The 16,087-nt window shown below is 36.3% G+C and overlaps 2 pseudogenes and 1 further gene, besides 6 other annotated features; all 3 read right to left on the bottom strand.

Annotated features, from left to right (window-relative positions):
- Positions 1 to 16,087, bottom strand: part of TRB (T cell receptor beta locus) — a 514,277-nt gene that overhangs the window by 159,733 nt on the left and 338,457 nt on the right.
- Positions 7,049 to 7,057: a recombination feature (RSS_nonamer).
- Positions 7,058 to 7,080: a recombination feature (RSS_spacer).
- Positions 7,081 to 7,087: a recombination feature (RSS_heptamer).
- Positions 7,088 to 7,594, bottom strand: TRBV23-1 (T cell receptor beta variable 23-1 (non-functional); annotated as a pseudogene). Its single transcript is given in 2 exon segments — positions 7,088 to 7,385; positions 7,546 to 7,594. Coding segments are annotated over 2 exon segments (347 nt in total), but the record flags the coding sequence as incomplete, so codon positions are not given.
- Positions 11,320 to 11,328: a recombination feature (RSS_nonamer).
- Positions 11,329 to 11,351: a recombination feature (RSS_spacer).
- Positions 11,352 to 11,358: a recombination feature (RSS_heptamer).
- On the bottom strand, positions 11,359 to 11,809 carry TRBV22-1 (T cell receptor beta variable 22-1 (pseudogene); annotated as a pseudogene). The gene is given in 2 exon segments: positions 11,359 to 11,654; positions 11,761 to 11,809. Coding segments are annotated over 2 exon segments (345 nt in total), but the record flags the coding sequence as incomplete, so codon positions are not given.

Raw genomic sequence — 16,087 nt, 5'->3', positions numbered from 1 at the left:
ATATTGGTAAATTCACTATTTCTAGTTGTTGTTCCTTGATTTCTTATGATTTTCTATGTAAACAATCATGTAATCTACAAATAATTGTACTTCTTCCTTTTCAATGTTTAAAACTTTTATTTTTTTGCTTTATCATGCTGGTTAAGATCTCCAATATAATATTGAATAAAAGTAGTGAGCAGCTTAGTGCAAGCATTTATTAAGCCCAAGAATTCAAGTCCCACCTGGGGAATATAGTAAGACCTCATCTATAATTAAAATAAAGTAAAAAGTAATGAGAAAACTTCATGGCTTGTGTCTTATTATAGGAGGAAAGTACTCAACACACTATTACATCGGATGTTATTTGTAAATTTTTCATTTATAACTTTAATCAGATTAAGATAACTGTCTTACCAGTTTACTGATAGTGTGTCTTTTGGATAAGTATTGATTTTGTCAAAGGTTTCTCTGCATCTATTGAGATGGTCAAGTGATTATTCTTCATTATTCTGCTAATATGGTGAAGTATATTGATTTTGGAATGCTAAACCACTGTTTCTCCTGCAATAAACTCCCTTGGACATGTGGTAGAATTGTCCACATATACACATATGTATATGCACACAAATATATACATATATCCATACATATTTGGATTTATTTATTTATTTTTGATCCAAAAGTAAATGTTCTATTTTTTGAAGAAAATTAATTTTTGGAAGCTTTTGTTCATCAAAATTTGAGTGAATTATCTGGTGTTACCTCCCCCCCAGTAGATGTACTTTATAGCAACTCTACTTTCTTTTTTTTTTATTTCTGGGGTACATGTGCAGGATGGGCAGGTTTGTTACATAGGTAAATGTTTGCCATGGTGCTTTGCTACACCTATCAACCCATCACCTAGATATTAAGTCCAGCATGCATTACCTATTTTTCCTAATGCTCTCCCTCCCCCCACTCCACCCCCCAACAGACCCCAGTGTGTGTTGTTCCTCTCCCTGTGTTCATGTGTTCTCATTGTTTAGCTCCCACTTATAAGTGAGAACATGCAACATTTGTTTTTCTGTTCCTGGGTTAGTTTGTTGAGGATAACAGCTTCCAGCTTCATCCATGTCCCTGCAAAGGACATGATCTCATTCATTTTTATGGCTGCATAGTATTCCATGGTGTACATGTACCATTTTCTTTATCCAGTCTATCGTTGATGGGGATTTGGGTTGATTCCATGTCTTTGCTATTACGAATAGTACTGCAATGAACATATGCATGCATGTATCTTTGTAATAGAATGATTTATATTTCTCTGGATATATACCCAGTAATGGGATTTCTGGGTCAAATGGTATTTCCGGTTCTAGATCTTTGAGGAAGCACCACACTATCTTCCACAATGGTTAAACTAATTTATGTTCTAACCAACAGTGGAAAAGCATTCCTATTTCTCCACAACCTTGCCAGCATTTTCATAATGGCTGTTCTGACTGGTATGAGATGGTATCTCATTGTGGTTTTGATTTGCATTTCTCTAATGATCAGTGGTGTTGAGATTTTTTTTTTGGTATGTTTGTTGGCCTCATGAATGTCTTCTTTTGAGAAGTGTCTGTTCATGTCCTTTGCCCACTTTTTAATAGGATTGTTTGTTTTTTTCTTGTAAATTTGTTTGAATTTCTTGTAGATTCTGGGTATTAGATCTTTGTCAGATGGATAGACTACAGAATTTTCTCCCACTCTGTAGGTTTCCTGTTCACTATGATGATAATTTCTTTTGCTGTACAGAAGCTCTTTAGATCCCATTTGTCAATTTTTGCTTTTGTTGTAATTGCTTTTGATGATTTCATCATGAAATCTATGTGCCTATATCTGAATGATATAGCCTAGATTTTATTCTAGGGTTTTTATAGTTTTGGGTTTTCCATGTAATCTTTAATCTATCTTGATTTAGTTTTAGTATAAGGTGTGAGGAAGAGGTCTAGTTTCAATTATCTGCAAATGGTTAACCAGTTCTCCCCACACCTTTTATTAAATAGGGAATCCTTTCCCCATTGCTTGTTTTTGTCAGGTTTGTCGAAGATCAGATGGTGTAGATGTGTGATCCATTTCTGAGTTCTCTACTCTGTTCCATTGGTCTATATGTCTGTTTTTGTACCAGTACTATGCTGTTTTGGTTATTGTAGCCTTATAGTTTGAAGTCCGGTAGCATGACGCCTCCAGCTTTGTTCTTTTTGCTTATGATTGTCTTAGCTGTTTGGGCTCTTTTTTGGTTCCATATGAATTTTAAAATAGTTTTTCCTAATTCTGTGAAGAATGTCAATGGTAGTTTAATGGGAATAGCATTGACTCTATAAATTACTATGTGCAATATGGCAGTTTTCATGATATTGAGTCTTCCTATCCATGAGGATTAAATCTTTTTCCATTTGTTTGTGTCTTCTCTGGTTTCCTTGAGCAGTGGTTTGTAATTATTCTTGAAGAAGTCCTTCACTTCCCTTGTTAGCTATGTTCCTAGGTATTTTATTATCTCTGTAGCAATTGTGAATGGGAGTTCATTCATGATTTTGTTCTCTGCTTGCCTGTTGTTGATGTATTGAAATGCTTGTGACTTCTGTACTTTGATTTTGTATCCTGAGATTTTGCTGAAGCTGCTTATCAGCTTAAGAAGCTTTTGAGCTGAGACAATGGGGTTTTCTAGATATAGGATTATGTCATCTGCAAACAAAGACAATCTGACTTTCTCCCTTCCTATTTGAATACCTTGTATTTCATTCTCTTGCATGATTGCTCTGGCCAGAACTCCCAATACTATGTTGAATAGGAGTGATGAGAGAGGGCATCCTTGTCTTGTGCTCGTTTTCAAGGGGAACGCTTCTAGCTTTTGCCCATTCAGTATGATATTGGCTGTGGGTTTGTCATAAATAGATCTTATTATTTTGAGGTATGTTCCTCAATACCTAGTTTATTGAGATTTTAACATGATGTTGAATTTTATTGAAGGCCTTCTCTGCATCTATTGAGATAATCACGTGGTTTCTGTCTTTAGATCTGTTAATGTGATGAATTACGTTTATTGATTTGCATATGTCGAACCACCCTTGCATCCCGGGAGTGAAGCCAACTTGATCGTGGTGGATAAGCTTTTTGATGTGCTCCTAGATCCAGTTTGCCAGTATTTTATTGAGACATATTTGGATTTAATTTGTTAATATATTGTGAAAAGTTTTCTTTCATTTGCAGCCATAAAAGATACTGTTCTGTAATGCATTTGACAGATTTTGGCATTAGGTTTTTGCTGGGTTTATAAAAGTGTTGTGAAGTGTTTCTGCCTCTTCTATTTTCTTAAAAAATTTATGTAAGATGGATAGTCTTTTTTCCTTAATTTTAGAATAGAATTCATGAAGAAATAATTCAGGTCTGGAGTTTCCTTTGAGGGAAGGCTTTTGATAAAAAATTTAACTTCCTTCATTTGAAGTTCTTTACATTTCTTATTTCATTTTGAATCATTTTGGTAAGTGGTATTATTCAAGAAATTTCATTTCATCTAAGTTGAAGAATGTATTGCATATACTTATAATATTCTGTCGCTATTTTAATGTCTTTTGTATCTATAGACATATGCTTTCCTTCATCATTGATATGGTAATTTGTGTCTTTCCCCTTTTTGTCTTGATTGCTATGGGTTAATCAATTTCATCAGTTGATTAAATCATGACCATATTTTCCTCCAAATTCTTGAACATATTTCTATAATAACTGCTTGAAAATTCTCATCTGAAATTTCCAACATTTGTATTATTTCAGGGTTGGTTTTTATTGTTTATTTTTTTCCCATGTGTAACATTTCCTAGTTCTTCCCATGTCTAATATTTTTTTTCATGTCAAGATCAAAATTGTAGATGCTGCATTGTTGACACTCTAGAGATACATATCTCTCTACAGACTTATATATCTACAGATTATATATATGTATATGTTTATATTTGCCTTTATTTAGAGAGTGCTGAGATATTTTTCTTCAAAAGGCAGTGAACTTATTGGAAGATCAGCGACATCCTTTTGAGACTTGCTGAACTTTGTTAGGGCAGTTCTGGAGTGGTTTACTCTAGGACGTTGGTAGTCCTTCTCTTGAGATGTGACCCTTATGTGGTGCCAGCTGCATTCCCAGGGGTTTCAGCAAGGCCTCTCAGCTCTGCCCAGTCAGGATTCATGTCTCCCATGCTCGTATGACTGTCAGAATCTCTATTCCTCTCACAACTACCCAGCAACTGTTCTCTGCCAGGTCTTATGGAGGCGTTTCCCATGCATTTGCTGCTTAGTTTTTGACCAAAGACTTAAGGGGACCTCATAAAATATTTGGAGGTCTTATTCTGCATAGCTTCCTTCTCTGCAGTAGCTTATCCCTATCACTATCAGCCATGTCCATACTTCTGAACTCAATCTCTGCCTCCCTATGCTGGGTAGACCACTGCCCACTGCTTGGGCTTCATATACTTGTGGTGCAGCCCAGAAGTCATACCAAGGCAGAGTCTTAGGACAATAGCGAAATTCCCCTTCTAGGTTTCCTCTTTCCCAGAGATGGCGACGTGTACTGCCTGTTGTCTGATGTCTGAACATAGTTGTCTTACAATTTTTGTCAAGTTTTATAGTGGCTTAAGGCAATAGAACAAGTACAGTAACAACTATCTATTTTGATTTAGAGCCAAATTCCCAAAAATAAGCATTTTAAAGGTTTTTGTTCCAGATTGTCAAACTGACACTATTACAAGTAGTTTAAAAGAGTAACACTTTGACTAGACTCTTAATCAAATTGGACAACAAAATTCATTTGTAAGTGTTCTCAAACACATTTTTACTAATATTTCATTCCATATTCATATGAATTTTCTGTATTCATATTCTCATTCACTATTAAATTATTTGATTTTTTTCAATTGTTAACTTTATGGTAAACCCTGATGGTTTTCAGGAAATCATTTAAAATTTGTTTTCCTAAATTTATTTTTTTCCCAAACTTCCTCAGGAATTTGTTTTAATTTATCCACTGATAAATCACTCCCAAAGACAATATAATGTTCTAATGTTTTTCATGAAAGTAATCTATATTTTGTCATCCTTATACACATTATTTGAAATACATTTTGATGGTTCTTTTTACTCTTCTCCCTTTCCCCAGAGACCAAAATTCCATGTAGTGTAGCTGAAAGTTTCTGAATGCCTTTATGTCTCAGTGAATGGGAGTTGCTCTGTAAGCATTTGTGAAATCAAAATGGATCAGCTGTCATATCAAGAGCTCAAGGAGATAGGTGTTTGCAGTGGATGGAATTTGGCCCTAAAAGAGATAATGTGTGGGCAAGTATTAAGTCTTCCAAAAAGATGTGTGAAGTTTTTCTGTCCTTTGCTATAACCAGGCAGCATAATTCACTTAGAAAAGAGCAATAAGAATTAATTTGAATCAAATTTGCCCCATATTGTAAAAAAGCACAGCTAAATGGAGTGAAGCATTTTTTCAGCAGTTCTGGATGGAAAGGGTTGTCAGTGGGTGATAGTAGTTTGGGGACAGCCATGGCTGGTAACTTTTCTATGCTGCTTAAAGACATGAGTAATAATGGAAGAGACAGCAAGTTGAGCACTCAGCAGAGTGGAAGTGAAAGATAGAAGTCTCATTCACATAATGGAGATAACACGCATGCACCTGCTAAGGTAAGAGATCACCTGGTTCCTCCCACATCTACTGATTCTTTGAAGTCTGGGACAGAGGTGGTGCCATATTGGGTGGTGGTATTTCCAGTGCCTAAAGTTTCAGAAAGGAGACTAATATCTTGTATATCTCAGGACCCCCTACAAATCATTGAGGAAAATATAGAACTGTCAATAGAGAATTTGCCAGCGGATATGGATAGGCCATTTTGAGAACAGAAATCCAGGACCACTATCACATGAAGAAGTGCTCAAACTCATTAGTAATTAGAAAATTGCAAAGGAAAGAAAAGGAGGGAGAGAACATTATTCAGCCTTCTAGATTGCTGCCAGTTATTATTATAGTAGTATAACGTAATCTCTCAGTTCCTTTAAATTATTGGTTTTATTTAGTTTTAAAAAATTGTCACCTGTATCTTTATGGTAAACACTGATGATATTCTGGCAGTAGGTGAGAGGGTTGCAGGGGTGGGGGGTGGAGAGAAAGAGAGACAGAGATTGGAATCTCTTTACATTGCTAGACTGAGAACAATCTAGATCACTGGATAAGGATTAAAGGAGATATTAGGATGTAGGAAAACACCCTATTCACTTTTATGTGGGATTGCAGATGTATACAGTGATCCTGAAGAACCCGTGGTGGTATTTAGATAGATAAAATATGCATAGAATTCCATGTCTCAGCAATCATGACTTGCTCTGGGTATATAATCCTATAAAGCAATCATACAAGTCTATGAAGGTATTTGTACAAGAATTTTCAATTCTGGCAGAAAACTGGAGAAAATCTGGCTATGTATTTCTGAAGAAATGGGTATGAGTACTCTCTATCATGTAGAAGCAACAAGACCAAATGTACTTACAGAAAAACGGAGCACTTCCCTTTCTTGAGCTGAGTGGAAAAGTAATATTTATGTGATTTTAAATATATACATACATGCCTACTGCTGAGTGCTCTGTGAGAAGGTTAATGGCTGGATCATGACTGATCTGTTTTTTTCTCTTGGGATTTTGAATTGAGGCTTAGAAAGAGCCAGCCTGGTATTTATCAGTGTAGGGAAATGATGGCAACTGAATTTGTAATCTTTAGTGACCATCTCATTCTCACCACGAGGCCTGGAGAAAAAGAGATGGTGTACAGGGAGAGAAAAGCATTCAGCAGCCAAAATTGAATAAAAATCAGCGCTGGAGAGATAGCCATTCTAGAGCCCAGCCCTAGTGGTGCCTTTTCAGAACTTCTATCACCTCTTGACTTCTGCTAAACACCCTTTATCCTTGTGTTAAATTACACTGTGGCTTAAGCTGGCTCCAGTTATTTTCTGTTACTCCCTTCCAGCCTAATACATCACCTGCTTCCTGAGCTGGGTCTGTGACAAGTTTGTGTGCTAAGAGGAACTGACATTTCAGTGCTGTGGATTGACTGCTGGCGCAGAGATACAGTGCCGTGTCTCCCGGTTCTGAGGACAGGATTGCCAGGCTGCAGGGTGCGTTCTTGGGGCATTGAGATGAGAATCGCTTCTTGTGCATCTCCGTTTCTTGAAGAACTTGTTCATTCTGAAAGGAAATCAAAAGCATAAACTCTTTATTCTGATTCTGTTGATACCAATAAACAAAAGTATGTCCTTTTTCGGGGGTACAATCCATCTTTGTTTTCTGTCCTTTTCCTTTGACCAAATGTCCTGGAGTCTGTGTGACTTTGGCATGAAAAGAGTCTGTAAGAGAAAGAAACAGATGCTGTAGAAAGAGTCCAGGAAAGAGCTTAACAAACAAAACAAAACAAAACAAAACAAAACAAAACAAAACAAAACAAAGCTTGGATCTGCTGGTTGGCAAGCCCAGGACAAGGATTTTTCTTTTGTGCTCAGGGCGCATCTGCTGCCAGGAGACACAGGGCTGCACAGCCGAGGAGCCTGGTGCCCATGATCGCATTGACGTTGCAAAGGGATGAGGCTTTTTCATCCCCTTTCTGCACCTTCTTGTGACGTGATCCCTCCACTGACTTATAATCATCATGTTATTGCTTCATGTTCCTGAGCAAAAACACTTCATAGTATCAGGGAAAAAAAGCTTTTATCCTAACTCAGGAAATATAACTCAGTTATTTTGTATTCATTTAAAAATATGTTATGTCTATTTTTGCTAATATAAGCAATACACTCATATTTTAGAAAGTTAGAAAATAAAATAACAAAATAAAAATATGATACCACTGCCAGAAAGCAATTATCACTGTTAACACCTTAGTGAGTCTTTCTAGATCCTTCTCTGCCCCATATATAAATGTGTAGATATATAGACACTTTTTTTAGTAAACAATATTCTTGAAATTCTGTTTGATAAGCTTTTTTTCAGTTAATGATCATCCTTTCTCATCGATGCATTTTCATCTTATCTACTATTTAGTTTTTATGCAAAGTTTCACAGTTGTTTCAAAAACGTCCTTTGCCATTAATTTGAGCATCAGTTTCTAACTCAAGACTGGACATTCCTTCTGGCTATTAGTTATCTAATTATCTTTTATATATTTCAGATCTCTGTTGTAATTGCTATCTTTATGATTCTGAAACTAGTGACTGCTTTGAAAAATACTTCACCTTCTAGCTCTTTCTGGTGTATTTTAGCTTGTTCATTTACTAGTGCTTCTTTTACATAACCTCCCTTTTTTGCTTTTTCTCTCTGTAACTATTTATTTTAAATTGTGCATTTTTTGATGATTTTTTTTTTCGCTTACTTTTCTCTTCCTCCATCTCATCCTCATTTCAGGTAAGTAATGTTAACAGCTTAATGTATATCTTTCCATAGATTTCTCCTTACTAATTTAATTGTTCAGTGAGGTTGTTTTCTCCACATTACAAAATGGACTTTGAATATATAGATAATAACTTGATAAAATACCAACAGAATGATCACTTAAAAAAACAACTTGGCACAGGAAATAAAAGATTACCAGAATATTTGAAAGCTCTTATTTCTTTTCCCAGATTCCATGCCTCTGTTCTCTAACTCTATTGAGGTGTTTGTTTTTGTAATTATTTGCTTCTCTTTTATATTTTAATGCATAGGCACATAAGCAAACAAAATAGTGTTTAGTTTTAGATGCTTTCAAACTTTACACAAACGAGACAATACTGTACCTTTCTTCTGCAATGTAATTTTTCATTCAAATTTGTGAAATTCATTCATGTTTGTGTGTTTAGTTTTAGTTCATGAATTTTCACTGCTGTGTAATTTCTTTTTAATAACCAGGATTTATTCTTCTCTTAAGTTACATTTGGATATTTTATACGTTTTTGCCATGACAGATGTATTACAGTGAATATTCTTGTCCTGATTTTCGTAGAAGGGTTTCTCTAGAAAAGCCTTTCTCAAGGGTGGAATTGATGGATAGTGGGTACACACATCTTGAACTTTACTAGATAATACCAAATTGTTTTCCAAACTGGATCTACCGATATACACTCTAGCCAGTGATTCAGAGAGTTCTTGTTGACACTTTGCCTTGCCAACACTTGATAGTTACTATTTTTATCATCGTAGCCATTCTTGTGGGTATATATTTCGTTGGACTCAATTTCTATTTCCCTGATTATTAAATATAGCCACATTTACATGTTTAATGACCAGTGAGATTTTGCTAGGTGCTTATGGTTTTCACTCACTTTTTCCATTGACAGTTACCTTTTTCTCATTGATCTGTAGAAAAATTAGTTTGTAGGTTTTTAAAAAATTTATATACTAGCTTTTCTTGAATATATAAATATAAATAGGGATATTAATTTGGTATAAATATATAGATATTTAATGATATGTCACTATACAGTCAATCTTGTCACTGTTACATAATTAACATTGATAAATTCAATATGTTAATTTTGATATAGCCATTTTTATCAATCTGTTCCCTACTGATTGAGGGAATAAGAACTCTTTCCCTGCTTTAAGGCCATGAAGATGTGCTCTTATACAGTATTCTAGAAGCCTTGTGATTTTATTACAATTATGCTTTTAATATAGCTGGGATTGATTTTGGCTATATATTGAGATGTGTCCAATTGCACTTATTTTTCTTTATATAGATACCCAATTTTCCTATCACCATTTATTGAAAAATATATTCTTTGATTGTTGCAGTACCATTGCTCTGTGTTTATGAACATGTATTTTTTTCCTTGGATCTATTTATATATCAATGCCCTTATATTACACCACTTTTATTGTTGTGGTTTTATAATAATTCTTCATGTTTGTTAGATTTAGTCCTCTCACTTGGAGCTTCTATTTCAGTGCCTCAGCTATTCTTTTATCCTTTGCAGCTATTCTTTTATCCTATCCTATCCTTTATCCACTGGTAGGAGACTCATGCAACTTCATTCATGGAGGCTTTTCATTTCCTACTTTGGTGATTTCTTGGAATCTTAGCTAAGTCTTGTGTCTTTCCAAAAGGAACCTCAGTGGAAAAGGTTCTGTGCACCTCAGTAAACTAACATATGACATTTTACCAACTATTCCCTGTTACCCAAGAAGTGTTTGCGGCTTCTTCTGCCTGGGTTACCTTTATTTTTTTCCCGAATTTTCTTAGAAATATCAAATACTAGACAAAACAAAACTCTCACTCTCTCTCTTTCCCTCTTTTGTTTTTACATCCCATGTTCTAATCACTCCTCACTCTTAGGCTTCTTTAATCTCCATAAGGAACCAGAATACCACAGTCTTAACTTCCATGCCTTTTATCTCTGTGATCTAAATCTATATTTGGTTGGAATTTTCTGTCCCCATAGTTCAATTATTTACATGCTGAAATCTGCAGAGTCTCAACCTCTAGTCCAGCCTTATGGCATCTCAATTTCACATCTTGTCTATGCAGTTGCCTGCTTCTAGTTTTTATCTCATTGTTCCATAGACAGTTGAACCCTATTATCCCAAATGGGAACTGCTACTGCTAACATGATTTCATATTGTTTGAAACTGTGCCCTTTGTTAAGGATCAAAGTTATATGAGGAAAATTGAAAAATAGTATCATTTCAAAGTTACATGAGGAAAATATATATATATATTGAAAAATTGTATTGTTTGCTTGTCTGCTGATGACAATGAAGCTTCAGCTCTCTCTTTTGAGCAACAGCCTACAAAGGACTTTCATACTTATTGTATTCACGGAACCAAAAACTCAACTTTTTCAAAAACTCCTTTCTGTCTACTTCCTCAAATGTATTCCATTTCTTTTGATTCATATAAATTGATCATCTTCTTTCTCTTTGTAAACTGTTCCCCAAAGTGACAAACTCTTTAATATGCCTTTGCAAAAGCTGTTCTCTTTGCCCAGAATGCCCTACTCAGAACCAGGTCTAGCTGGTGAAGTTCTAATGTGACTTCCTCTTTGTTTTCTCTGATTCAATCAGACAGAATTGGGCATGTCCTCCCTAAAGCTCCCAAATGACTTCTGATTTTAGTATTATACATTATATTTTCCATTCTAACTACTTTATTGCTAGACTTTTAGCTCCTTGGATAAAGGATCTATTTTCTTTTCAGTTTTGTATCTTTTGTGTTTGCAAAAGTAACAGGACATAGTAAAATCTCAAGAAAATATTAAAAATGAAAAAATTAAGCTAGAGGATGTGGTGGGGGCTGTAGGGTGAGGACACATTTCCGCACAGAGAGACAATGGTTGTGCTTCCATTGTGGTGCGCTCCCAGGACAGAAGTACAAAGCTGTTTGGCTGGTGTGGGCCAACTTCACCCTGAGAAGAAATAGCCCCTTCTCCTCTTGGCAGACACGTAGCCTTCAGTTAGATCTCCTCTCTGAATATCCTTTTCAACCCTTGAGTAATAGATCAGTCTCAGATTTTGCTTTGGGTCCTGCCAGTACCAGTAGCAGTACATGTCATTGTGTCTCAAATTCCGTTTCCACTCCAGAGTCACATCCCATCCAGCCCCAGTGAGCTGGAATGGCATCTGATAGATGTCAGCATCCAAGGGTCCAAGAGACAAAGGCTGGAGATCATGCCTGGAAGGGAGGTGCTGGCCAGGGAAGGGCCTGGCAAGCCCAGAATAGGAATTGACCACCTGGATGTGTGCTGAGCTCACCTGCTCCCAGGAGACACAGGGTCACATAGCAGAGGACCCAGCTCCCCATGGCAGCGACAAAATCTCTCTGAAGTTACAGACACAGGCTCTAAGAGAGAGAGAGAGGCCAAGGGAAGGGGCTGAGATCTAGCCCCTCCCCGGGACTTAATATAAAGAATTTGTCATTGCTACGTGATGACTGATTTTCACAGCTGATTTTGCAGATGGTGAGACTAAGAATTAGAGCGATCAAGTCACATGCACCTCCTCTTCTGCTTATAGAAGCTTTTTATATCCCTTCTAAATGGACAAGTGCCTGCCTGCATGGTCAGAAGAGCCAATCCCTCACTTCCTGGTCAGAGTCATACACAGAGTGCCATGCACCTGTGCTCAACTCAACACAAGAAGGGGTTTGGAAGTTTAGTGGTTTTGTTTTTGTTTTTGTTTTTTAAAGAACCGATTCTCTACACCCTCTGTATTCACTATAAATAATTAATACAGTAGAGATGGGGTGGGGGCTACTCCTGCAATTTTAGGAATAGCAAAGTGTCTGAAGCGCCCCTTCCCTTGTGACAATGGATTAGAGCAGGGACTTGGGACACGGCATGGGCTTTAGTCCTGTCTCTGCCATTTCGCAGCTATGTAACCTTGGAAAAGTTACAGAGCATCTCTTCAATTTCACTTTATCTGTAAAATTGAGATAATAAGTAACTACCCAAAACCTGTGATGAACATTACATAAATAAAGCATTTAGAACAGTTCTTAGTACATAAGAAACACTAGATTTGCGTTTGCTCTTATTACTTTCTGGACCTGAAGTTCTAATTCACAGGAAGTTAGGAAGTCAATACTGTATCAAGTGAAATGAGACATTTATGGTCATAGGGTTGTACCAGCTGACTAAAGTCTCATTTTCCAACTGAGTAGAAATTTGTATGAGTGTAAATTCATTGTATAACATGGGTTCTTCCAAGTAGTTTTAGTAAATAAAAATAGGATCCTAGCTGATTTCTTAATGAATGCTTTTGTTTTGGTAGACAAATGTTGTTCTATTTCTGAGGTTATCTGCAATTAAAAGATGCTTTCATGATGAAACTTTTGGTTGCAAGCTGGTGGGGTTTAGAAGCTGTTGCTGTTCCCTCCTAGAAGAAAAACAAGGCAGAGAGAGAGAGAGAGAGAGAAAAGAAAGAGCAGGAGAGAGACAGAAAGAGAATATAAAGTAATTATTTAGAGTGAGAAGCATTAAGAGGTGCGGCAGTGTGGGTGAAACTCTGAGAAAGAATGCTTGCAACATAGTTGTTTCCAATGCGTAGGTCTAGGCTTCAGGTTGTCAATCATGCCTGCGTTGAGGATCTAATTCTGTGTCCAGGAGTTCTTCACATTGTACCAGGGACCTCTTTGTCAGACTGGTAAATCCTAAGGACCCCATCTCAGAATAACATTTTAAATGCATAAACTAGAATATAGAAAATTATTTTGAAATGCAGATATCAATTTTTTTAAATTCTCATATATTAATATAGGAACACCTTTAAATTTCATTAAATGAAATATAACCTGCTGAATCTGAAAACTGTCATGATTTCAACATAGTGATGAAAGTATATTTACTGCATTTAACGTGGTATGAAAATATCTGACTTTTATATCAACTGTCATCTATGCAACATATAAGCAAATGTCTGTGATTTCTGTCATTGACTTTGTCACTGATATTACTAAAACTACTATGGTTTACTCATTATATCATAGAAGGAAAGGTATATTTCAGTTGGAGGTTAGTTAAAATAAAGATCTATTTTCCCATTCAAATTTATTGATTCCCTGAATTTTATCTCTGCACTCCTTGGAGGTCCACGGATCCCAGGTTAAAAACTTCTGCCTTAGAAGAGAATATGCATTATGCTGGAATCCACAGACAGGAAATGTTTTTTAGAACGTTCATATAGCCTCGGAAGTACTTAGCCTATATGTGTAGTTTGCAGATTTGTCAAGGTGTCAAGGGAAACAATTTAAACTACTTCTTTAGACTGTTTACAGACTTCAATTATAACAGGTATTATATTATACTTACCATGATTGTGTTCTAGTCCTGGAAACATGGTACAAATTCTATCATCTATCTTTCTACATACTGTCTGCATTATCAATTATATTCATCATTATCCATATCATCATCATGATTATCATGTATATTTTATTCCTGAGGAGCATTATTGGAATAGAAAACTACAGGGACATAGTATGATAGTATATACTCTCTTGCATGAAAGAGTAAGGCTTTATGCTAAGAAACCATGTAATCAGAAATAGTATTCCTAAAATGGAATCACAAAATTATCTCCACACTATGTTTTAAAATAATCTCTACAGTACTATGTGTTACTAATTCTGAGACACCTCAGATCCCAATATTGGTAATATATGCACTATTCTTATTGATGGAATTTAGACAGTTCTACTGTATTTAAGATCCTCATTGTAGTCAGTGTTAAATAGTGTCCTATTTCCTAGATAAAGGAGTAAATAATGAAAAAGTTTATGTCATTAAACACTCTTCCTATATTGCAACAGATTCAACAGTATGTTCCCATTTCGTGCCTCCAATATGGTAATTCTCCATCTGAATACTTGGATCCATTTTTAAATTAGTGAATTGTATTTTTGGAGCAATTTTAAGTCCACAGCAAAGTTGAGCAGAAACTACAGAATCCCAAGTATTCCCTGCACTCACATGAACAACGTTCCCTACTACTGACACTCTGTGTTGTAGAACTATAGACCTGATGAAGGTGGCCTATGGGAGAAACAAGAATGGAATTCAGAGGCTCGACCAGCAGGGCTGCAACCCCTCATTCCAAATCATGTGCTTAACTGCAAAATATTCCCTTTAATTAATCTTAACGCATAGGTATGTTTTCATTAACAAAATGTATCTCTTCTTAAAGTACACCTTGCAGAAATTTCACAGCTTTTCCAATACATGTAAATAAGTATATTTTACCTGGAAACAGAGCAGCACTGACACTTGATTGGTTCACATGGTGAATGAGGCTGACGCTGTGAGCTCACATATGGTTGCTCCAAACCATATGCAATTTCTGGAGAAGGTATTTTTATGTAACATACTGAGGTAGAGATGTCAATTGAAAAATGTAAAGACGAAATTGAATTAGGCTGACGTGAAATCTTGGCAGAAAATATTTTTATTGAGTACATTTATAATCTTGTTAAAATAAAATTTAGGAAAATATATATAAGATCTGTATAATAAAAAATACAAAGCGATGCTGAGAGAAATTAACAAGACCTCAATAAAGAGATGTGAGGGACTTTCTGAGACGATGAAAATGTTTTGTATCTTGATTGTCATCATGGTTACATCATGGGTATAAAAATGTGTTAAAATTTGTTGAAGTGTACACTTAAAATGCGGGTGTGTTTTATTGCAGCAGTTGGATTTGTTTATTGCATACATATTCCATATATATCTTATGTCTCAATAGAGTTGCTTTAAAAATGTTCGTAATTGTTGGCCAGGCGTGGTGGCTCATGCCTGTAATCCCAGCACTCTGGGAGGCCGAGGCAGGCGGATTACGAGGTCAGGAGATCGAGACCATCCTGGCTAACACGGTGAAACACCGTCTCCACTAAAAGAAATACAAAAAATTAGCTGGGCGTGGTGGCGGGCGCCTGTAGTCCCAGCTACTCGGGAGGCTGAGGCAGGAGAATGGCGTGAACCCAGGAGGCGGAACTTGTAGTGAGCCGAGATCACGCCACTGCACTCCAGCCTGGATGACAGAGCGAGACTCCGTCTCAAAAAAAAATTAAAATAAATATAAATAAATAAATAAAAATAAAAATTTGTGATTGTAACATTCCATAGGGCAGGAATTGCTAATGGTTCCCACTAGGCTTCTATGGCAGGGAGAGCTGTGAGAAGCAGTCAAAAAGCCCTTTAGAGTCTGTCTCTAGTTCAAGGAAATGTGCTGGGTCAGAAGATCAGGGTCTACCTGAAAGACACAGTTGATCCGCTTGTCATTCTTATTTGTGCACCCACAACTTTACCAAGTGAAAAGCACAGAATCCCCTTCTTTAAATAAAGATTGTTAGAAATCCATAAAGCTCATGTAGAGAGAGAGAGAGGGTAACCTAGCATATCTTACCTAATATGCTGAACACTGAGGAATCCAAGCTTTTTATGCCTTCTGGCCCCTTCCCTGGGGTTTTGTCCCCATCAGTTGTTTTAAATAACCCCCCTTTGTTTTTTGCTCACTTAGAGCTGTTATTTACAAGTTTTTCCTTCTGATTTATTGTCTTTCAAGTTGGGTTTCTGTTACGTAGTGC

Source organism: Homo sapiens, chromosome 7 (genome assembly GCF_000001405.40).
Source record: "Homo sapiens chromosome 7, GRCh38.p14 Primary Assembly".
NCBI lineage: Eukaryota > Metazoa > Chordata > Mammalia > Primates > Hominidae > Homo > Homo sapiens.
The sequence above is the reverse complement of the archived record's forward strand: the minus strand, read 5'-3'. Positions and strand labels throughout refer to the sequence as shown.